At 42.1% G+C, this 25,861-nt stretch overlaps 1 long non-coding RNA gene across 2 annotated transcripts in view; it reads left to right on the top strand.

The window, feature by feature from the left end:
* The window catches only part of LOC105377294 (uncharacterized), a 40,750-nt gene extending 15,725 nt beyond the window's left edge, over positions 1–25,025 (top strand). Inside the window, exons 2-3 of one of the 2 annotated variants that reach the window (XR_001741739.2) lie at positions 23,682–23,863; positions 24,809–25,025. This is a non-coding gene — a long non-coding RNA (uncharacterized LOC105377294). Of the gene's footprint in view, positions 1–23,681; positions 23,864–24,792 lie in introns of both variants that reach the window. The other variant, XR_001741738.2, reaches the window with a different exon arrangement.
* Positions 25,026–25,861: the final 836 nt, after the last annotated feature.

Raw genomic sequence — 25,861 nt, 5'->3', positions numbered from 1 at the left:
GTAAATGTTTCAATCTTTAAGCATAAGTTGGGTTCAAGTAAGGCTCAGAGGGAAATTATCTTTAAAACTAAATAAAACTCTTCCGTTAAAACGGGTGCCCAGAATCAGCTACCTGCTATATGGTTCCATGGAGCAGATGTAGAGGACAGGACCCCAACCTTGGTAAAAGGCCAGCAGCTGAAATTAAACAGATAGTTCAAATTTCCAGCTGCCAAGGTTCTATGTTAAGGCTGCAGTGGACCAAAACCCTGAGCAAGCCAGTCCAGGATGGCAGTTCAGAGAACTCTCCACTTCGGTGTTCCACAAAGGATATCCTCCCTGCCATCCATTCATCTATAACTACCTCCATCTGCCATCCTTAGAACTCCTTCTTTCATTGCCATGCGAGGGCCGGTTTTCTCTTCCTTTTCTCCCACTATCTTTCATGTGTTAGGGTCTGGTGGGTAGCAGGAGAGAGCTCTCTAACAAGCCATGTTGCGGGTCGGGTTCTCTAGAAACAGATGCAAAAATTGAGGTTGGGGTAAAAAACCTGTATTAGGCATCAAACCTGTGAAAGGAAGGGGGATGAAGCAGGACTGGGCAGAGAGAAAACATGAACCATGATGTGTACCCAATAAAGCTGGAGCCAACCCAGTGGGGAGCTCTGGAGCAAATAATGCCCATCAGTTGTCCCCTTCTGGCAGAAATGGCCACACCATTGCACCCTGGCTCAGTCATTGGATGTGGGCTACTTCTGAAAGCTGTGACTTGGTAAGGGGCGTCTCTCTACAGTTGAGGCAGACCCTGTAAAAGCTGACAGCTGAGACTGTGCTCACTGCACTCCCAGCAGCCAGGTAGTAAATTCTACTTCGAAGGGGATTTATACTGCAGATTTTGGTTTTCCATAAGCCACAGGTCCTTTTTCTATTTTTCCTGTTTCAAATCTTTTTTAAACTTGACTTTTTTTTTTTTTTTTTTTTTAAGACGGAGTCTCACTCTGTCTCCCAGGCTGGAGTCCAGTGGCACAATTTCAGCTCACTGCAACCTCCGTCTCCCAGGTTCAAGTGATTCTCCTGCCTCAGCCTCCCAAGTAGTTGGGATTATAGGTGTGTGCCACCACACCCAGCTAATTTTTGTATTTTTAGTCGAAACGGGGTTTCACCATGTTGGCCAGGCTGGTCTCGAACTCCTGACCTCAGATGATCTACCCTCCTCAGCCTCCCAAAGTGCTGGGATTACAGTTGTGAGCCCCTGCGCCCGGCCTAAAATTGACTATCATTTTTAATAACCTTTTTTGTACTTAAAAATGTTAGATTTACAGAAAAGTTTTGAAGATGGTATATACAGTTCCCATGTAACCCACACTCAATTTCCCCTATTATTAACATCTAAAATGAGTATGGTACACTTATTACAATTAATGAACCAGTATTGATATATTATTATTAACCAATAACTATTCAGATTTCCTTCATTTTCAGCCTAATGTCCTTTTCCTGTTCCAGGATGGCATATACAGGGGAGCCCGTAATGTTTAGTTGTCACGTCTCCTTGGGCTCCTTGAAGAGTACTGGCCAGGTATTTTGTAGAATGTTTCTCAGTTTGGATTTGTCTGATGTTTCCTCATGATTAGACTAAGTTTATGGGTGTGCGGTAGGAAGATCATAGAGGCAATGTGCCATTGTCGTCACATCATATCAAGGGTATATACTATCAACACGACTCATCACTGTGGATATTAACTTTGATGACCTGGCTCAACTAATGTGTGTCAGGTTTCTCCACTGCAAAGTTTCCTCATTTCCATACAGTGCTCTCTGGACGGAAGTCACAATGAGCAGCCCACATTAAATGAATAGGAATTATGCTCCACCTTTTTGAGAGTGGAGCATATATAAAAATTATTTGGTACTCTCCTGCATCATGGGAGATTTGTCCGTTCTTCCCACTTATTTATTAACAATTGTTCAATCATTTACTTATATCAGTATAGACTCATGGATATTTGTTTTCTGCTTTGGGCTATGATCCAATACCACTTTATTTATTTTGTTGCTCAAATTCTTCCACCTTTGGCCCCTGGGAGCTCTTTCAGTTGGCTCTGTTGTCCTTTTGACATACGCCCATCACTGGCAGTTTGCTTGTTTACTTGTTTTGAGCACTTCCTTACTTTCTAGCACTGCAAAACGCTCCAGGTTTATTCTGTACATCCTCTGTCCCAGTCCTAGAGCCTGCCATTTCTCTAAGGGTCTCTGGTTACTTTTACTGGAGATTGGTATTAGAAACAAGATCTAGGCACTAAGTGTGCTCATTGCTACAGGGATGTGGTTGCTTCTAGACCTTCTCAGCTGTCAGAGGAAGAAAATGTATGTGTATACTAACCTGTGTATATGCATTTATCTGTAAATATTTCTTTGCACATCAACCTTTCATATCTGTGAGTTCCACATGTGTTGATTCAACCAACCACAGATCAAAAATATTCAGAAAGAAGTTGGGTGCAGTGACTCATGCCTGTAATCCCATCACTTTGGGAGGCAGAGGCAGGAGGATCCTTTGAGCCCAGGAGCTCAAGACCAGCCTGGGCAACACAGCATGACCTCATCTCTACAAATACTTTTTTTTGTTGTTTTAATTAGCTGGGCATGGTGGCACATGTCTGTTGTTCCAGCTACTTGGGAGGTTGAGGTGAGGGAATTGCTTGAGCCTAGGCAGTTGAGGCTGCAGTGAGCCATAATCACACCACTGCATTCCAGCCTGGGCAACAGAATGAGACCCTATCTCAAAACAAAAAAAAAAAAAGAAAAGAAAAAGAAAATGTTCAGAAAGGAAAAAAACAAAAGAATGATGTGTCTGTGCTGAACATGTACAGACATTTTTCTTGTCATTATTCTCTAAACAATACAGTATGACAACTATTTACATAGCATTTACATTGTATTACGTATGATAAGTAATCTCGGGATGATTTAAAGTATGCAGAAGGATGTGCATGGGTTATATGCAAATACTATGGCATTTTATATCAGGGACTTGAGCATTCTGTGATTTTTCACATCCTTGGGGTGGGGCAGGGGGTTCAGGAACCAATCCACTCTGGATATCAAGGGATGGCTCTATCACCATTTGTATCTATGAGTTCATACTGATGTCCCCAACTCAAATCCATTACCACATAGATCATTCTAGCCTTCTTCTTGTCTGTAACCTCAGTCCAATAGTGATAAACCTAGCTCTCACCATCCACCATACATTTTCTTAATTCTTCCATTTTAGTATGTATGTATAGTAATTTCAGAATTGTTAGCATATACTCAATGAGAAACAATTTTATCAGGTTTTTTTGCCTTTAATGTATAGACTCCATTTCCAAAGGTACTTAGGTCAGCACCCTTTCCTCCCATCCTCTTCAGTGAGGTTATTTCATACATTTGTAATATAATAGATTCTTTTATCATAGTCTGTATTCCATCCTGTGATCCCCAACTCCCTACTTTATTTTTTAATTTGCATACATTAAAGTTCACGCTTTGTGCTGTAAAGTTCTATGGGTTTTGACAAATGCATCATGCCATGATCCATTACTTATATGATCCATTATGGTATATACAGAGCAGTTTTATAACCCTAAAATTCTCCCATATTACTATTCAATCCTCTCTAAACCCCTTGCAATCATTGATCTCCTTACAGATTCTGTAGTTTTGCACTCTCCAGGATGTGATAGAAATGAAATTATACATTATGAAACCTTTAAAACTGGCTTCCTTCACATAGCAATATGCACCACACTTACTTTTTATCCTTCAATATCTAACTTAGGATAGAAACATTGCTTCATAGAAAATTTTCAGAATTTTTTCTAAGAGATAGGGCCTTGCTCTATTGCCCAGGCTGGAGTACCCACTGGCATGATCACAGCTCACTCCAACCTCAAACTCCTGGACTCAAGAGATCCTCCTGCCTCAGCCTCCTGAGTAGCTAGGAACACAGGATGTGCTAATTTTTATTTTTATTTTTTGTAGAGATGAGGTCCCACTATGTTGCCCAGGCTGGTCCCAAACTCCTGGCCTCAAGCAGTCCTTCCACCTCTGCCTCCCCAAGTGCAGCTTGGTTAGGCAAAGTGTTGGAATTACAGGCATGAGCCACTGTGCCCAGCCAAGAAATTTTAATTTGCCTGTGAATTTTTTTTCAAAGCAATACACTAGGTAGAAACATTTGCACATTTTAAAGCTTTTGATACATACTGCTGTTTTACAGAAAGGCCTCTGCCCTCTTGGCAGCATTGGATATACTTTTTAAAAAATCTTTGCCATTTCACAGTAAAAAATGATAGTTTATAGATTAAAAAATTTAAATTTGACAATTAGTGATTAAGTTTTTTAAATGTTTACTGGCCATTTTTTTTCTTTCTTTGTAAATTTCTTGTTGATGTCATTTGTCTATTGTTTCCATAGGAAGTACTTAACTTTTTTCTTGAGCAATAGAAGTTTTTATGCCTGAAAAATGTCAACCATAACTATAGATAAATAAAATCATCTTCATGGCTGCAAAATTGTCCATCATATGAGGGCATCAAAACTTAATGAATTATTCCCTGGTTACTGAATATTAGATTGTTTCTAATTTTATTTTTTATTTTTCTTCTTTTTTCTCTCTCCTTCCTCCTCCTCTCCCTTCCTTTCCCCTTTTCTTTCTTCTTTCTTCCTTTTCATTCTTCCCTCCTACTATTATAAATAACACAATAAACATTTTTACACATATATATCTAAATTTTTATTTTTATTTATTTATTTATTTATTTTTGAGACAGAGTCTCGCTCTGTTGCCCAGACTGAAGTGCAGTGGCACGATCTTGGCAAATTGCAGCCTCCATCTACTGGGTTCAAGCGAGATCTCCTGCCTCAGCCTCCTGAGTAGCTGGGACTATAGGTGCATGCCACCAGCCCTGGCTAATTTTTGTGTATTTTTATTAGAGACGAGTTTTACCATGTTGGCCAGGCTGGTCTCAAACTCCTGACCTCAAGTGATCCGCCCGCCTTGGCCTCCAAAAGTGTTGAGATTATAGGCATGAGCGACTGTGCCTGGCCATTCTAATTATTTTTTAAAGAAATGTTCCTGAAAGTGATATTACTGAATGAAAGGTATACATATTTTAACACTCTTGACACATAGAGTTATTTTCCAGAAAGAACCAACAATATTTCTTTCCACCACCAATGCACTGGAATCCCAAGGCCACCATACTTTCATCAAGAAAAATGATTCCCTTTGTATGTACCTGGCACCACCAAGAGATGCTTTTCTGGTTTGGGAGCAACCTGAGGGGTTAAGGCTATGTCCATAAATAACAAAATGCTAGAGTGGTCTTTTCTGTTAGGACGTGCAGTTAAGAAGAGATAGTATTGAGATACCTACTGCTGCTTGCTGTAAGATTCATTCTGCTCCATTTCATCATTTTCAAAGATCTTTCAGATAAGCTGTGTACTTATATATGGAATTTCTTACAAGCCAAGAATGCATTTTAAACCGAGTAGTGACATATTAACAAACAACAACATACTTTTAAAATGCATTTGCCTAGGAAAGGTATAGATTAAGAAATGATTAAAAGAATTCAATCCCAGCACTGAAAGAAATACAAAGTATATAATATTCTTCTTTTAGAATTATCATATTAGATAATGTCAGATAAATGACCCATTCATGATTGAACAATTGTAGAATCATTGAGCAGTAGTCTTGCCTCTCTTTTTTTTTTTTTTTTTTGAGACAGAATCTCACTCTGTCACAGGGCTAGAGTGCAGTGGCTTGATCTTGGCTCACTGCAAACTTCACCTCTCAGGTTCAAGTGATTCTCATGCCTCAGCCTCCTGAGAAGCTGGGATTACAGGCATGCACCACCATGACTGGCTAATTTTTTTCATAATTCTTAGTAGAAATGGGTTTTCACCATGTCGGCCAGGCTGTTCTCGAGCTCCTGGCCACAAGTGATCCACCTGCCTCGGCCTCCCAAAGTGCTGGGATTACAGGCGTGAGCCACTGTGTCCGGCACAGGTTGTCTCTTATATTACTAATACTCTTCTACTTATTTCTTCCATAAATAGTACTCAATTAATGTTTCATATAGAAATAGAATTATGACTTCAGTATGAAACAATAAAAAGGAGAAAGGAGGAACTTAAAAAAAGAAACATCTTAGCAAATATTTTTCTATAACAAAATTTTAATCATACCTAAAGTTTCCCCACTTACAAAATTTTCTTTGCATCTGATATACCTCAGAACAGTATGAAATATGCTTTAGCAGGATGTAAGCATCACTTAACTATAGAAATACAACCTAAATATTACCTAGAACCACGAAATTCTGTTTCATTTGTCAGATATAATTATCATATTTGTTGGGGCCTTATTATAGGACCTAGTAGGTGCTTTATGTTCTCAATTAATCATCACAGCAATTGTCAAATGGGGTTTCCCAAAAACAAAACCTGAGAAATAAATTGTCTACAAGTAGTTTATTTGGGAGGTGATCCCAGGAAGCACAGTGATGTAGTGGGAAAAATGAGACAGGGGAGTGAGAGATTAATTCACAAACACAGGGTGAATGAATGAGCAGATTACTGCTATGTGCCTCAATCCCACTGAGGACCCACCGAAGAACTGTGTGACCTGTGCCTCTGAATTGTCCCATTGAGGGTCAGAAAGCTTCTGTCTCTCACTGGTGGAGGGTTTCACCTGAGGGCATTACATCTTTGGTACTTCTGGGCTGTACAAGTTCTTGTGGCATCTGAAAAAGCCCAGGGGCAGTGAAGGAGACTCCAGCAGGCCCAGTGGTGAACCATTGTCAGGGCGTGGAGCTGTCCCCTGTAGCTGCAGCGGAGCGAGCCGCTATGCAGCAGGACATCAACGGTGTCTGCTCTCCTATCATTAACCCTGTTTTAAAGTTGAATAAACTGGAATTCAGAAAAATTATCTGCCAAAGGTTACAATGAAGTAAATGGCAGAACTGGAGATCCGTCTGGTGTGACTACAATCCCGTGCTCATTACAACTATTAAAACATGTTAACATTGTAGGTATCTCTGAAAGTTATGGAATGAATCACAGAAATTTGGAGCTGGGAAGTGCATTAGGGATTCTTGAGTTTGTTCCCTAGGATAGGAAACTGAAATCCAGAAATGCTACACTAACTTGTTAGGTTGAGATCACAGAGCTAGATGGTTTCACAGCAGGGCATAGAATCAAACCCCTAAACTTCCATACCATGCTCCTTCAACTACAATGCACAGCCCTTTAGGTAAATACATTTAACCCGTTAGGAAAATAAAAGGTACATATTTATTTTATTATGAATGTAATATATGTTACATTTGAAAGTTAAAGTTACAGAATGGCCTCATTTCTTATAAATAGTGTCATAAGCCCTGTGCTTCATGGAATCTCGAAGATTGTTACATATTTGATTATTTCTCTTCTTGCTGCCAAATACTTTCTACTATGAAGTCATCCCCTAAATGAAAGTGTTACAGCTGAAATTAAATTAGCAATTAAAAATAAATGAACTACTTATTGTTATAGTCTCTAGGAACCACTTTGGATGAATTAAAGTGTTATTCAGTTAGCAAACTAAAAATTATCTGCACACTGTTATTCATGTTCACAACTTCCTGAAGGTGTTATGAACAGAGATTCATGTCATTTTAAAATATTAAGTAGGTGACATAAGATGTTTTCTATAGCACAAGAGGCAGTCTATAAATACCTATCATAAGACTATAATTGCAGTCTCTTAAAATGAAGACAAAATCATTATACAGTTTTTACCATGATTTAATGAACTAATGAAGTACAGTAAATATTCTCATTTGAAATAATACTAAAAATACTGCTTTCACTGCTTGCATCTACGAGTGAAAGAAGTCTTTTATTAAAAATTTAACTTGTAAATTAATGTTATATGTGGGGATTCTGACTTAGTAAGATAAAAGTCACAATATCCCAAACGATATTATTGCTCACAAGGAAGACCCTGTATCCACACACATTGACTAGCTCATTTCTTCATTATTTTTGCAGTTGTTTAAAAACACTATTTATACTCATTTTACAAATATCTAGGTTATATATGCCACATGAATTACCTTGAGTTTTGTCCTTGTCCAAATCTAAAAGTATAGTCTCTCTTTTCCCTACTCATTACCCTAAACATCAGGTAATAGTATCTTTTATTCCCATCTTCTTGAAATGATGTAGTTTTTTTTTTCATAATGGACTATTTCTCATTCCTTTAAAGTCTTGAGTATTTCTGCCATTGTGTATGTGAATTTCTAAGAATGTCCTTTTCCTATCTGGGGATGGAGGGTAAAAAAGTAGGAGGCCAAAGAGAAAGGAAGGTTCAGAGAAAGTATGGAAATAATGAACTCTTTCAAAAGAATCAATGTAATAAAAATATCTATTGAAGGAAATATAATGTGTCACATTCATACCAGCATTCACACTTACTTAGATAGCAGCAGCTGTTTGTTTCAAGATCCTTGCAAACTTTCTCCTGATGGAGATATATATGCTATATGGCTAAAAGAGAGCCTTCAGACAGATTTGCCGCCAAATAATTTTGGGTAAACAGGCCTCATTATCTTTGATAAGGTTACTAAGAAGAGAACGTGTCTTTTGAAAAGTATGCCAAGAAAACATTTGTATGTATGACTCCAGTCTAAAAATGTCAATATTTTTATCTCTCACTTGAAGAAATGCCTCAAAGTAGCACAACGGCTACCCTCTATCTATATTCAAGGTCTAGTGTTTCTGTACTGAGTACTTTCCTGCAGTGTCTCAAATGTTTTAGATAATGGCCCACTTTGCAAATGCTAAGTACTTCCCCCATACGCTCCTGCAATTCTCCAACACCAACTGGATGTCCAGCAGTTCCATTCAATTCTGAAACTAACTACCCAGAGGTAGTGCAGACCCCAGAGGGTAAAGGACTCAATCTCACAAGACTATCCCCACTTCAGATGCCAGATGCAGTCCCAGCGGTTACCCACACATCTTCCCAACTGGCTTGGCTACAAATTCAGGGATTCTCACAACTTCCCTCCAGGTTTGATAATTTGTTAGAATGATTCACAGAACTCAGGAAAGTGCTATACCTACAAGTACCATTTTATTATAAAAGATACAGCTTAGAAACAATCAAATGGAAGAGATGCATAGGGCAAGGTCTGTGGGAGAGGAGGCAGCAGCCTTCGTCCCATGGATTGGGGGCGTGCCATGTCCCCAACCCCTGCTTATATTGTCTGTTTACCAACCAGGAAGTTCTCTGAATCTCCTTAGAGTTTTCTTCAAGATTTCATTATGTAGGCACGATTGAGTAAACCACTGACCATTGTTTAAACCATTGATTGATTAAGCCATTGTGATTGGTCTCAGTCTCCAGTCCCTCTCCCCTCCCCAGATATGGAGGGATGGGACTGAAAGCTCCAACCTTCTAATTATGTGCCAAGTCTTCCTGACATAACCAGCCCCTCCCTTGAAACTATCTAAAAGTCTATCTTGAGTCACCTCCTTAGCGTAAATTCAGGTATGGTTAAAAGGAGCTTATTATGATAAGAAACTCCTATCACTCCAGAAATTCCAAAGGTTTTAGGAGGAACCAGAGACAAAGATCAAGTACACAGTCATGTGTCTCTTGTTCTCAAGGTGATACACTGGCAGTATAGTAGTATTATAGTCACACGTTGCTTAACAACAGGGATAATTCTGAGAAATGCATTGTTAGATGATTTTTGTCATCGTGTGAACATCACCGAGTATAGTGCACTTATGCAAACCTAGATGGTATGTATGGCCTACTAAACACTTAAGCCATATGGTATAGCCTGTTGCTCCTAGGCTACAAACCTGTACAGCATGTGACTGTACTGAATACGGTAAGTGACTGTAACACAATGGCAAATATTTGTTTATCTAAACATATCTAGGCATAGAAAAGGTACAATAAAACACTGTATCAAAGATGAATGGCACATCTGTATAGGGCACTTACCATACATGGAGCTTGCAGGACTGGAAGTTGCTCTGAGTGAGTCAGTGAGTGAGTGGTGAGTGAATGTGAAGGCCCAGGATATTACTGTACACTGTATACTATGGTAGACTTTATAAATGCTACACACTTAGGCTACACTAAATTTATTTTTAAATTTTTTATTTCTTCAACAATATATTAACTTTACTTACTGTAACTTTTTTGCTTTATAAACTTTTACATTTTTAAAAACTTTTTGACTTGTAATAATACTTAGCTTAAAATACAAATTATACATCTGTACAAAAATCATTTTCTTTATATCCTTATCCTATACGTTTGTTCTATTAATTTTTTTTAACTTTTTAAATGTTTCTGTTAAAAACTAAGACACAAACATACACATTAGTCTAGGCCTACACATGGTGCAGGATGATCAATATCTCTGTCTTCCACTTCCACATCTCATCCCACTGGAAGGTCTTTGGTGGCAATAACATGCATGGAGCTGTTACCTCCTATGATAACCATGCCTCCTTCTGGTATATCTCTTGAAGGACCTGCCAGAGGCTGTTTACAGTAAACATTTTTTACATATAAGTAGAAGAAATACACTCTAAAATAATGCTAAAAAGTATAGTATAATAAATACATAGAACAGTAACATGATCAAGTATTATTATCAATAACAGGCATATGTGCTATACATAATTGTATGTGCTAGACTTTTATACAACTGGCAGCACAGGTTTCTTTTTTTTACCACCAGTATCACCACAAACACATGAGTAATGAGTTGTGCTACAACATTACAACAGCTACAACATCGCTAGTCCATAGCAAAACCCCACTAAGGGGCTGGGCACAGTGGCTCACGCCTCTAATCCCAGTACTTTCGGAGGCTGAGGGGGGAGTGGATCACTTGAGGTCAGGAGTTCGAGACCAGCCTGGCCAACATGGTGAAACCCTGTCTCTACTAAAAATACAAAAATTAGTTGGGCATGGTGGCGCATGCCTGTAATCCCAGCTACTTGGGAGGATGAGGCAGGAGAATTGCTTGAACCCAGAAGGTGGAGATTGCAGAGAACTGAAATCATGCCACTGCACTCTAGCCTGGGTGACAGTCTAAAAACAAACAAACAAACACACCCCACTAAGGCTTGTTATATTAGCTGGGTATAGTGGGAGAATCCATTATGATTAGCAATATCTTTACAATTTTTTTTGCCTTATTTCCTTGTATAATTTCTATATGTTTGCTTTAATAATGTACATAACATTATAATAGAAGTACATGCATGTAATTTAAAGTTCAGGCATGCTTTTTTTTTTTTTCTGAGACAGGGTCTCTCTCTGTCACCTTGGCTGGACTGCCGTGGTATGATCACAGCTCACTACAGTCTCAAACTCCCAGGCTCAAGTGATCCTCCCACCTCCGCCTCTTGAGTAGCTGGGCCCACAGGTGTAAGACAACACATGTGGCTAATTTTTAAATGTTAATTTTTTATAGAGATGAGGTCTCCCTATGTTGCCCAGGCTGGTCTCAAACTCCTGGGCTTAAGCAATCTTCCTGCCTCAGCCTCCGAAAGTGCTGGAATTATAGGCATGAGATGTCATTCCTGGCCCATACCTCATTTTATTGGGCTTTGCTTTATTGCATTTCACAGATATTGCATATTCCACAAATTGAAGGTTTGTGGCAGGCAATCATACATCAAACGAGTCTATTGGTGCTATTTTTCCAATAGCTTGTGCTCATTTGTGTCTCTGTGTCACATTTTGGTAATTCTCACAATTTCTCAAACTTCTTCATTATTATTATATCTGTAATGGTGATCCACTATCAGTGATCTTTGGGGTTTTTTTGTTTTGTTTTGTTTTGTTTTGTTTGTTTTTGAGACAGTCTTACTCTGTTGCCCAGACTGGAGTGCAATGGCATGATCTCAGCCCACTGCAACTTCTGCTTCCTGGGTTCAAGCCATTCTCGTGCCTCAGCCTCATGAGGAGCTGAGATTTCAGGCGCTTGTCACCATGCCTGGCTAATTTTTGTATTTTTAGTAGAAATGGGGTTTCACCATGTTGGCCAGGCTGGTCTCAAACTCCTGACCTCAGGTGATCTGCCCGCCTTGGCCTTGCAAAGTGCTAGGATTACAGGCAGGAGCCACCGTGCCCAGCCCAGTGATCTTTGATGTTACTATTGTAATTGTCTTAGGGTACCACAAGCCACACCCATATACGATGGTGAAATTGATAAATGTTGTGTGTGTTCTGACTGTTCCACCGACCAGCTGTTCCTCCATCTCTCTTTCTCTTCTCAGACCTCCCTATTCCCTGAGATACAACAGTATTAAAATCAGGCCAAGTAATAACCCTACAATGGCCTCTAAGTGTTCAAGAGAAAGGAAGAGTCTCATGTCTCACTTTAAATCAAAAGCTAGAAATGATTAAGCTTAGTGGGAAAAGCACGTAGAAAGCTAAGGTACAGTGGAACATGCCTGTAACCTCAGCACTTTGGGAGGTTGAGGTGGCAGGATTGCTTGAAGCCAGGAGTTCAAAACCAGCCTGAGCCACAAAGTGAGACCTTGTCTCTGTAAAAAAATAAAACATTAGCTGGGGGTGGTGGCACATGCCTATAGTCCCAGCTATTCAGGAGGCTAGGGTGGGAGGATCCCTTGAGCCCAGGAGTTTGAGGCTGTAGTGAGCTATCTATGATAGTGCACTCCAGCCTGAGTGACAGAGTGAAATTCTGTCTGTATAAAGCAAGAAATAAAGGGGGGAAAGGAGAAAGAGAGAGAGAGAGAGAGAGCAAGCAAGCCAAGCTGACAGTTGGGCCTCTTGTGTCAAACATCCAAGTTGTGAATGCAAATGGAAAGTTATTGAAGAAAATTCAAAGTGCTACTCCAGTGAACACACAAATGATAAGAAAGAAAAACAATCTTACTGCTGATATGGAGAAGGTTTTATTGGTCTGGATAGAAGATAAAAGCAGCCATAACATTTCCTTAAGTTAAAGCCTAATCTAGAACACAGCCCTAATTCTCTTCAATTCTATGAAGGCTGAGAGAGGTGAGGAAGCTGCAGAAGAAAAGTTTGAAGCTAACAGAGGTTGGTTCATGAGGCTGAAGGAAAGAAGTTGTCTTCATAACATGAAAATGTAAGGTGAAGCAGCAAGTGCTGATATAGAAGCTGTAGCGGGTTATCCAGAAGATCTACTTCAGATGATTGAAGGTGGCTACACTAGAAAACCAATTTTTCAATGTAGATGAAACAGCCTTCTGTTGGAAGAAGATGCCATCTAGGACTTTCATAGCTAGAGAGGAGTCAATGCCTGGCTTCAAAGCTTCAAAGAACAAGCTGACTCTTGTTAGGGGCTAATGTAGCTGGTGATTTGAAGTTGAAGCCAATGTTCATTTACCATTCCAAAAATCCTAGGGCCCTTAAGAGTATGCTAAATCTACTCTGCCTGTCCTCTATAAATGGAACAACAAAGCCTAGATGACAGCACATCTATTTACAGCATGCTTTACTGAATATTTTGAGTACCTTGTTGAGACTTAGCACTTAGAAAAAAAGATCCCTTTCAAAATATTATTGTTAATTGGCAGTGCACCTGGTCAACCAAGAGCTCTAATGGAGATGTACAAGGAGCTTAATGTTGTTTTCATGCCTATTAACACAACATCCATTCCACAGCCCATGGATCAAGGAGTAATTTTGACTTTAAGGTTTTATTATTTAAGAAATATATTTCATGGCCAGAGCAGTGGTTCACATCCCAGCACTTTGGGAGGACATGATGGGCAGATCACTTGAGCTCAGGAGTTCAAGATCAGCCTGGGCAACATGGCAAAACCTCATCTCTACAAAAAATACAACAATTAGCCAGGTGTGGTGACATGCACCTGTAGTCCCAGCTACTCAGGAGGCTGAGGTAGAATGATGGCTTGAGCCCAGGAGTCAGAAGTTGCAGTGAGCTAAGATCATGCCACTGTACTCCAGCCTAGGCAATAGAGCCAGACCCAGAAGAAAGAAAGGAAGAAAGGAGGGAAGGAGGGAAGGAAGGAAGGAAGGAAGGAAGGAAGGAAGGAAGGAAGGAAGGAAGGAAGGAAGGAAAGAAGCAGGCAGGAAGGCTATAGCTGCCATAGATAGTAATTCCTCTGATGGATCTGGGCAGAGTAAACTGGAAACCTTTGGAAAGAATTCATCATTCTAGATGCCATTAAGAACAATTTGTGATTCATAGGAGGAAATCAAAATATCAGCATGACCAGAAGTTTGGAAGAAGTTGATTCCAACCCTCATGGATAACTTTGAGAAGTTGAAGACTTTAGTGAAGGAAGTAACTGCATATGTGATGAAATAGCAAGAGAACCAGAAGTAGAGCCTGAAGATGTGACTGAATTGTTGCAATCTCATGATAAAACTTGACCAGATAAGGAGTTTTTTCTTATAGATGAGCAAAGAAAGTGGTTTCCTGACATGGAATGTACTCCTGATGAAGATGCCGTGAACATTGGTGAAATGACAACAAAGGATCTAGAATATTACATGAACTTAGTTGATAAAGCAGTGGTAGACTTTGAGAGGATCAACTCCAATTTTGAAAGACATTCTACTCTGGGTAAAATGCTATCAAACAGCATCACATGCTACAGATAAATCTTCTGTGAAAGGAAGAGGCAATCAATGTGGCAAACCTCATTGTTGTCTTATTTTAAGAAATTGCCACAGCCAACTCAGCCTTCAGCAACCACCACCTTGATCAGTCAGTAGCCTTCAACACTAAGAACCTACACCAGCACAAAGATCTTGACTCTCTGAAAGCTCATATGATCATTAGTATCTTTGCAGCAAGCATTTTTTAGTCAAGGTATGTCAATTGTTTTTTTTTTTTTCCTTTTTTTTTATTTTATTTTATTTTTATTTTTTTATTTTTTTATTTTTTATTTTTTTATTTATTTATTTTTTTTTTATTGATAATTCTTGGGTGTTTCTCGCAGAGGGGGATTTGGCAGGGTCATAGGACAATAGTGGAGGGAAGGTCAGCAGATAAACAAGTGAACAAAGGTCTCTGGTTTTCCTAGGCAGAGGACCCTACGGCCTTCCGCAGTGTTTGTGTCCCTGGGTACTTAAGATTAGGGAGTGGTGATGACTCTTAACCAGCATGCTGCCTTCAAGCATCTGTTTAACAAAGCACATCTTGCACCGCCCTTAATCCATTTAACCCTGAGTGGACACAGCACATGTTTCAGAGAGCACAGGGTTGGGGATAAGGTCACAGATCAACAGGATCCCAAGGCAGAAGAATTTTTCTTAGTACAGAACAAAATGAAAAGTCTCCCATGTCTACTTCTATCCACACAGACCCGGCAACCATCTGATTTCTCAATTTTTTCCCCACCCTTCCCGCCTTTCTATTCCACAAAACCGCCATTGTCATCATGGCCCATCCCCAATGAGCCGCTGGGCACACCTCCCAGACGGGGTCGTGGCCGGGCAGAGGGGCTCCTCACTTCCCAGTAGGGGCGGCTGGGCAGAAGCGCCCCTCACCTCCCGGATGGGGCGGCTGGCCGGGCGGGGGGCTGACCCCCCCACCATCCTCCCGGACGGGGCGGCTGGCCAGGCAGAGGGGCTCCTCACTTCCCAGTAGGGGCGGCCGGGCAGAGGCGCCCCTCACCTCCCGGACGGGGCGGCCGGCCGGGCGGGGGGCTGACCCCCCCACCTCCCTCCCGGACAGGGCGGCTGGCCGACCCCCCCCCCCGCCTCCCTCCCGGACGGGGCGGCTGGCCGGGCAGAGGGGCTCCTCACTTCCCAGTAGGGGCGGCCGGGCAGAGGCGCCCCTCACCTCCCGGACGGGGCGGCTGGCCAGGCGGGGGGCTGATCCCCCCACCTCCCTCCCGGACGTGGCGGCTGGTCGGGCGGGGGGCTGACCCCCCCCACCTCCCTCCCGGACGGGGCGGCTGGCCGGGCGGGGGGCTGACCCCCCCACCTCCCTCCCGGATGGGGCGGCTGGCCAGGCGGGGGGCTGACCCCCCCACCTCCCTCCCGGACGGGGCGGCTGGCCGGGCAGAGGGGCTCCTCACTTCCCAGTAGGGGCGGCCGGGCAGAGGCGCCCCTCACCTCCCGGACGGGGCGGCTGGCCAGGCGGGGGGCTGATCCCCCCACCTCCCTCCCGGACGGGGCGGCTGGCCGGGCGGGGGGCTGACCCCCCCCACCTCCCTCCCGGACGGGGCGGCTGGCCAGGTGGGGGGCTGACCCCCCACCTCCTCCCGGATGGGGCGGCTGGCCGGGCGGGGGGCTGATCCCCCCACCTCCTCCCGGACTGGGCGGCTGGCCGGGCGGGCTGACCCCCCCACCTCCCTCCCGGACGGGGCGGCTGGCTGGGCAGAGGGGTCCTCACTTCCCCAGTAGGGGCGGCCGGGCAGAGGCGCCCCTCACCTCCCGGACGGGGCGGCCGGCCGGGCGGGGGGCTGACCCCCCCACCTCCCTCCCAGACGGGGCGGCTGGCCGGGCAGAGGGGCTCCTCACTTCCCAGTAGGGGCAGCCGGGCAGAGGCACCCCTCACCTCCCGGACGGGGCGGCTGGCCGGGCGGGGGGCTGACCCCCACCACCTCCCTCCCGGACGGGGCGGCTGGCCGGGCAGGGGGCTGACCCCCCCTCCCCCCTCCCGGACGGGGCGGCTGGCCGGGCAGAGGGGCTCCTCACTTCCCAGTAGGGGCGGCCGGGCAGAGGCGCCCCTCACCTCCCGGACTGGGCGGCTGGCCGGGCGGGGGGCTGACCCCCCCACCTCCCTCCTGGACGGGGCGACTGGCCAGGCAGAGGGGCTCCTCACTTCCCAGTAGGGGCGGCCGGGCAGAGGTGCCCCTCACCTCCCGGACGGGGCGGCTGGCCGGGCGGGGGGCTGACCCCCCCCACCTCCCTCCCGGACGGGGTGGCTGCCGGGCGGAGACGCTCCTCACTTCCCAGACGGGGTGGCTGCCGGACGGAGGGGCTCCTCACTTCTCAGATGGGGCGGTTGCCAGGCAGAGGGTTTCCTCACTTCTCAGACGGGGCGGCCGGGCAGAGACGCTCCTCACCTCCCAGACAGGGTTGCGGCCAGCAGAGGCGCTCCTCACATCCCAGACAGGGCGGCGGGGCAGAGGTGCTCCCCACATCTCAGACGATGGGCGGCCGGGCAGAGACGCTCCTCACTTCCTAGATGGGAAGGCGGCGGGGAAGAGGCGCTCCTCGCTTCCTAGATGGGATGGTGGCCGGGCAGAGACGCTCCTCACTTTCCAGACTGGGCAGCCAGGCAGAGAGGCTCCTCATATCCCAGACGATGGGTGGCCAAGCAGAGACGCTCCTCACTTCCCAGACGGGGTGGCGGCTGGGCAGAGGCTGCAATCTCGGCACTTTGGGGGGCCAAGGCAGGCGGCTGGGAGGTGGAGGCTGTAGCGAGCCGAGATCACGCCACTGCACTCCAGCCTGGGCACCACTGAGCACTGAGTGAACGAGACTCCGTCCGCAATCCCGGCACCCCGGGAGGCCGAGGCTGGCGGATCACTCGCGGCTAGGAGCTGGAGACCAGCCCGGCCAACACAGCAAAACCCCGTCTCCACCAAAAAAAAAAAAGAAAACCAGTGAGGCGTAGCAGGCTGAGGCAGGAGAATCAGGCAGGGAGGCTGCAGTGAGCCGAGATGGCAGCAGCACCGTCCAGCCTTGGCTCGGCATCAGAGGGAGACCGTGGAAGGAGACTGTGGAGGGAGAGGGAGAGGGAGAGGGAGACGTCAATTGTTTTTTTAAGACATAATGCTATCACATACTTAATAGACTACAGTATACTGTAAACATAACATTTATAAGCACTGGAAAACCAAAAAATTTGTGTGACTTGCTTTAGTGCAGTGTCCTGGAACTGAATGTGCAATATCTCTGAGATATGCCTGTAAATAAATTGCCCTCAACTACTTGGCACTCCGTAAGCCTGTTACAGTTTTTCCATAACTTTGTCCCTTTTTTTGGTTTGTTTGTTTTTTGAGACGGAGGCTCACTGTGTCACCTAGGCTGGAGTGCAATGGCATGATCTTTGCTCATTGCAACCTCCACCTCCCGGGTTCAAGCAATTCTCCCTGCCTCAGCCTCCCAAGTAGCTAGGATTACAGGCATCACCACCATGCCCAGCTAATTTTTGTATTTTCAGTAGAGATGGGGTTTTGCCATGTCAGCCAGGCTGGTCTCGAACGCCTGACCTCAGGTGATCCGTCCGCCTCAGCCTCCCGAAGTGCTGGGATTACAGGGGTGAGCCACCACACCCGGCCAGATTTGTATTTTGTTGCTGTTTTTCTCTCAGTCTGGTTTCTCTTCTCCATTTGGCAGAATCCTAATGATAGTTCAAGCCTTCTCCAATATCCAGAGACACCAATAATCACTCTCCTCACTCTTCCTTTAGAACATACCTCTATTATGGCACATCTGCCCTTGGGTTATACTGGTCTTGTTGATGTCTCCTCTGGTAGATTACAAGTTTCTGGAGGGCAAGGATCACTTTTAGTCATCATTTTATCCCTGATGCCATGCAGTCACAAGTAGTGGGTATACAATCAGTGTTCATTGAATTTAATCATCTCAGAACATTTAATGCCCTAAGCTTCAAACTGGTATTGTGATGGTTAATACTGAATGTCAACTTGATTGGATTGAAAGATACAAAGTATTAATCCTGGCTATGTCTGTGAGGGTGTTGCCAAAGGAGATTCACATTTGAGTCAGTGGACTGGGGAAGGCAGATCCATCCTTAATGTGGTGGGCACCATCTAATCAGCTTCCAGCGAATATAAAGCAGGCAGAAAAATGTGAAAAGCCGAGATGGGCCTTGCATCTTTCTCCCATGCTGGATGCTTCCTGCCCTCGAACATCCAACTCCCAAGTTCTTCAGTTTTGAGACTCAGACTGGCTCTGCTTTCTCCTTAAGCTTGCAGACGACCTATTGTGGGACCTTGTGATTGTGTAAGTTTATACTTAATAAACTCCCCTTTATATATATGTGTGTGTGTGTGTGTGTGTGTGTCCTATTAGTTCTGTCCTTCTAGAGAACCCTAATACAGTTATGATATATATCTCTCATATATGAATAGAAACAGAGGGCTATGGCTTTAACACAAGATTCTTCATTTCACATACAGCATTTTATAAATATGATTCTCAAAGTAAGGTCCATAGGCCCTCCTGACAGACTGTACATTAATTTCAACAAATGCATATCTTTATTCATATATGTGAATGATGTGTGATTCCACAGACCTTCCTTTTTACATGTAGCTAACGAGTATTTATTAGTAAGTTATTGAAATTTGATCTCTATATACTACAATTGGCACATATTTAAGGATTAGAATTCTAATTTTGCACTCTACTAAAAAGTCCAGCAGCCAGAAAAATGCTTGGCCAATGCACATATGCAGATAGTTGGTTTTTCTCCAAATTTCAAAAGGCCACTTTCTTATCATGTATCATCATCATCATCATCGTCACTGTTATACTGAGGTAGTTTAGGTTCTGATTTCAGTTCTTCTTGCTTATTAATTGTAAATTACAGTCACTTTAGTTTTATCATTATCAGTTTGTTCTGGGTTTTGTTAATTTGTTGCTATCTGGGCAGCATAGTTATAGAAAGGGGCTCTGGAGGCAGAGTGTCTCTCATGTAAAATCTAGGTGAACTCAGGCTAGTTATTTAATTTTTCTGAGCCTCAGTGTTTTCATCTCAAAATGAGGTGGGGGTAAGGGTACTTATCTTATTGGTTTGATGGGAAATCATTGAGTTAATGCATATAAAGTGCTTTCATGAGACAGTACTTGGCATATAGTAAGGGCTCAATAAATGTTATTTGTTGCAATACATATTTGCATCAAGAGTACTGTGGCTTGCAAGCAGGCAGACCTGTATGCATTGTGGTTTATGGGGGGCACAGGGAAAGTATGAATAGTAAATGAGAATACAAGTAAGACAGTTGAGAAGGTGCCTGGCACATAGTATATGGTTAGATTTGTTAGGATTTGGTTCAGCTAAAAGTGATAGAAGACAAATTGTGCCTTATTAAAATAGAAGTTTGTTTCACACCTAACCAGGGACAGCCCGAAGTTGGGATGACTGCAATCATCATATATCCAGATTCCTCCCATCTTGTTTTTCCACTATTTCTCAAAGTGGAGTTTTTATTCATAATCTAGATGACTATTCCAGCACAAGCCATCATATCTACATTCCAGCTAGTGTTTGGGGGGTTGGAGGAAGAAAGGTGAAAAGAAGGGCATAACCTCTCTCTCCAGGGATCCTTGTGAAAAGTTGCACACAACACTTCTGCTTACATTCCATTGGCCAGAACTTAATCACACTGCCACATCTGGCTGCAAAGGGAGACTAGGAAATAAAATCTTTATTTTGGATAGACATGTTGCCAACTGAAAAATGGGGAGTTTATTATTACAGAACTGATTTTATCAACTGGAGCACTATTGGCCTTTGGGCGGACAAATCTTTATTGAATGGGAACTGTCTTGCATATTTCAGGACATTTATACCTCCGGGTCCAAGACACTATCTAAATGCCATTATTACCCTCCCAGTCATTGTATCACATTTACAATTGCTCCTACACATTTACAGTTATCCTTAAGGGGTGGTGCTATCCTTAACTTTTAGGCTTCTGTGGCAGACATCTATTCTTGTCTGCCCAGTATGTCACTTTTCCAGGGAAACTCCTTCCCACACCCATGTGTTAGATGGCCATCTTCTTAGGCGACCCTTCTCTAGCTACAGAGATGAGAAAACAGGTCTGCATTGGTCACAGGCCAGGCGAAGTAAAATCCTTTCCCAGGTTTTAAAAAATTGAGCCTAGAGGAGAGTTTTGGTTCTTTCATAAGTGAAAATGTAAGATCTGGTGCTCTTGAATCCACTACTGGTGAGAATGTAAAATGGTGCTACGAATATGGAAAACAGTATGGCGACTCTGCAAAAGGTTAAATATAGAGATACCAAATGACACAGCAACTCTACTCCTAGGTGTATAACCAAGAGAAATGAAAACATATGTTCACACAAAAACTTCTACATGAATGCTCCTGGTAGCATTATTCATTATAGCCAAAAAGTGAAACAGCCCATCAGTCTATTGATAGATGAATGGATAAACAAAATATGGTATGTCTACACAACGGAATATTATTTGACAATAAAAAGAAATGAACTACTGATCCATGCTACAACATAGTTGAAACTTGAAGAAAACATGAAGGAAGCCAATCACAAATGACCATATAGTTTATGATTCCTATTTATATATAATGTGCAGAATAGGCAAATCCATAATAAAGGAAAGTAGATTACTGGTGGCTGGGGGTAGGGAGGAATGGTGAATGACTGCTGCAAGTTGAGTATCCCTACATAAAATGCTTGGATCAGAAGTGTTTCGGATTTCAAAATTTTTTTTGAATATTGAAATATTTGCATATACATAATGCAATATCTTGAGGATGGGACCCAAGTCTAAACATAAATTTCATTTATGTTTCTTAAACACATAGCCTGAGGTAATTTTATATAATATTTTAAATAATTTTGTGCATGCAACAATGTTTTGACTGTAACTTGTCACATGAGGTCAGATATGGAATTTTCCACTTGTGGTATGAGGTCTGTGCTCAAAAGCTTTGGATTTTGGAGGATTTTAGATTTCAGATATTTGGATAAGGAATGCTCAACTTCTAATGGGTGGAAGGTCTGGTTCTTTCCCAATAACCTGTAGCTATGTCTCTCCCAACCTGGCATTATTTAGTCTTAAAGAAGTCTTATCTTCTTACTTAAAATTAAATAAGATATATATATATATAGAGAGAGAGAGAGAGAGATTGATGGGCTGTTTCACTTTTTTTATATATATATTCATTATATTGAATATAATATTGAACATGAATATTATATGGCTATAAATATATAAAATATGAGTACATAGTATGTACATTTAATTTAATATAGTACATACATTTAATTTAATACATAATTAAATGTATGTATACATTTAAAATATCCCAACCTGGCATTATTTAGTCTTAAAGAAGTCTCATCTTCTTACTTAAAATTAAATAAGATATATATATAGAGAGAGAGAGAGAGAGAAAGAGAGAAAGAAAGAGAGATTGATGGGTTGTTTCACTTTTTTTATATATATTCATTATATTGAATATAATATTGAACATGAATATTATATGGCTATAAATATATAAAATATGAATATATAGTACATACATTTAATTTAATATATAATTAAATGTATGTATACATTTAAAATCTATAATTAAATGTATGTATACATTTAAAATATATAACATGTATATATGTGTTAATATATATTAAACATATGTGCAAGTCACAGTCAAATCTGTTGCATGCACAAAATTATGAAAAATATTATATAAAATTACTTTTGGGCTATGTGTATAGGAAACATAAATGAAATTTGTCTATATGTATATCAGCAATCATTGCTACATAATGATGATTCAGTCAGCAATAGACTGCATATACGATGGTGGTCCCATAAACTTATAATGGAGCAGAAAAATTTCTATCACACATATACTTATTGTTGTGCTACTATTTTCTGTCTTACTAGTCAGTGTAGTAACATGATATAAAGGCTTGCAGCCTAGGAGCAATAAGCTATACCACATAGCCTAGGTGTGTAGTAAGCTATACCATCTAGGTTTGTGTAAATATACTCTACGATGTTTTCACAAAAACAAAATCTCCTGACATATTTCTGAGAACATAACCCTGTTAAGGAACACATGACTGTATATGCTTAAGGAGGAGCTCATCATTAAAGAGGGATCATGTAAATTTCTATTATAAATGGCATTTTCCATAATTTAAAGTTTGCAGAGCAATTATTTTCAGATATGGCTAGGCAGTTATTGTTTTAAGTTTAACATTGCTGAAGGCACATACTAGGTGTATGTGCCAATCCCCTGGGCTTGCAGTATTGTTTGCTTGGGCTTGGAGTTCAGCATTATCTTTAATCTATGGTTTCTTTGTAAGAAATGATTTCAGTATATATTATAACTTTATTGCTATTTGTATGCTTGTTAAGTGGATTTACAGATTATATTATCTACTTTTAACTAAATTAATCTTCACCAAGGAGGCAAATGATTCATGAATAGGGAGAAAAACTAGGTTGTAGCTTGCTATGGTTTGAATGTTTGTATCCCCCCAAAATTCACATTCTGTAACCTAATCACCAATGGGATGGAATTAGGAGGTCATGGGGGCAGAGCCCTCATGAATGGAATTTATGCACTCGGAGAACCCAGAGAACTACCTTGCCCCTTCTATCATGTAAAGACATAGCTAGAAGACACCATCTATGAACCAGAAAATGGGTCCTCAGCAGTCACTGAATCTGCTGGCATTTTAATCTTGGACTTTCCAGTCTCCAGAGCTGTGAGAATTAAATTTCCATTGCTTTGAAGCTGCCCAGTTTATCATATTTTGTTATAGCAGCCCAGATGAATTAAGACATAGCTACATCTTGAAGATCTTGATCCTGTAAGCAATGAATAACCATTGCAAAATTGTTTTGGGGTTTGTTTGCTTGTTGTTTTATCAAGAGAGTAATATAATCTGATCTGGCTTTTAGGGTTACAAGATGGGCAGTACAATAGAGGATGGACTGGAGTTGGAAAAGACTAAAGCAGCAAGTTTGATAAGGAGGCTACAGCAATAGTCCAGGTGAAAGACGCAAGAGCCCAAAATGCAGCAGTGGCCAAGGGAATGGATCTGAGATAAAGTTCAGAAGATAGAGTTGGCAGGGCAGGTGAGGTAAGTGCTTGGGATAAATTCACATGGTCTGGTTGAACACCTGTGGGCTCTGTAATATAGGAAGAATGACTTTGGTAGAATGGAAAGATAATGAGGGCTAGTCTGGACATGCTGATTTAGGACCAAGAAAGACCCAGTAAGAAGCAAGAAATATGAGGCTAAAGTGTGGTAGAAAGGCCCAGGTAGAACTACATGTAATTAAAACAATATTTCATGTGATTTCTCCCAAGAAGAGGATATATTTGAAAGAGGGGTACCTTCTATCACTTCTTGGCTTTAAAACTCTGTTGGCCTCCTGTGATCTCAGAGATGGATTTCTCCAAATATCTTAATTTGATACTCAAAAGTGTCCCCAGTCTATTACCAAACTATCTCTTATTCAGTCATTTATTCAACCCATCCGCCTTTCTAGAGAGCCTGGATGTACTGCGGTGAGTGTTAGGGGCACAGAGATAAATAAGTGGTTGGTTTCTGCCCTGGAGGAGGTCTAGTAGGGGACAGAGACAACACAACAGACTATTAGGATTCGGTAAAATAAGGATAGTAATGAGGTTACCCATAGGTTTGTAGCAAGAATTAATGAGTTCATACACATAAAGCCCTTAAAACAGTGTTGAATATGCAAGAGCTATTATTATTATAGGAGGAACACGTGCTGAGACTGGGGGTATGGGTCAAGGATGACTCCCTTGATTTCGTGACAGCTGAGCTGAATCTTGAAGGAAATTTAATTTAGCCAGACTCAAGGGAGAAGGGGAGGGGTTGGAGAAGGACATCCCTGAACTTCTTTCAGTTTTCTTGTATAGTGAGTTGAATGATGGCCCCCAAAAGATGTGTCCATGTCTAAATCACTAGAACTGTGAATGCTATCTTATTTGTGAAAAGGTAAAGGTTTGCAGATATAATTAAATTAAGGATCTTATTTTTAGTTTATCTTTAATCCAGGAGAAGAGAAGAAGGCCACATGAAGATGGAGCAAGAGATTGGAGTGATGTGGCCACAAGCCAAGGAAGCTGAGGAATGAAGACAGCTATCAGAAGCTGGAAGAGGAAAAGAATTCTCTCTTGGGGTCTGCAGAGGGAGAACAGCCCTGCCAACACTTCCATTTCCAATGTCTGGACTCTAGAACTGTGAGAAAATAAATTCCCATTATTTTAAGGAACACAGTTTGTGATACTGCATTACAGCAGCTCCATGAAACAAATACATTTTGTTATTCCAAGTCCTCTTCACAACAAAGTCTTTGCTAGTGGTGAACCAAACACAGTCCCACCATCATGAGCCACTGTTCTGGATGAGGGGGCAACACAGTTCAGACACTGGTCATCTCTATTTAATGTCTAATGGGCATCTCAAACCTAACTTTCTCCCAGTGGAAATGCCTGGAGGTACGTGGAGATGGAAAGCTGACCTAGCCAAGGAGTTCAGCAAAGATCCCTGGGAGGAGGTGACATCTGGACATCTGCACAGAATAATGAGGCTGGGCTAAGGCAGTGACTGAGGGAGGCACTCTTTTTTGGTTTTTCTTTTCTTTTCTTTTGTGTAGGAAGGAAAGAATAGCCAGGAGAGATAGAGGAGAAAGAGGATAAAGATAGACAGGAAAGAGGTAACACAAGAAGTCAGGACCTGCGCTTGAGGGGCAGAAGTCAAGTCGGGCTAAGGTGAGAAGGCAGAACAGGGTTCAGGGTCTTTGAAGAGAAACAAGTACAGAGCTGGAACTAAGTGATGCTGACTCCAGACTAAAACCCTCTGGGTTTGAATCCTGCCTCTGCCACTTACTTATTCATTACAAAATAGCGAGAAATTACATTATCTGGATCTTGGTCTCTTCAACTATAAAACAAAAATAATAATAGCTCCTATCTCATAGGATGCTATTAGGAGTACTAAGTATATTAACACCTGTAAAGCACTTGGCTCAATGTCTGGCACTGCATATGCAATAAATGTCATTATTACTATTAACATTATTAGAAGAAGCAGCAAATTTAAAATCAG

The sequence above is a fragment of the Homo sapiens genome, chromosome 4, assembly GCF_000001405.40.
Source record: "Homo sapiens chromosome 4, GRCh38.p14 Primary Assembly".
Lineage (NCBI taxonomy): Eukaryota > Metazoa > Chordata > Mammalia > Primates > Hominidae > Homo > Homo sapiens.
This window is presented reverse-complemented; position numbering and strand designations above follow the sequence as displayed.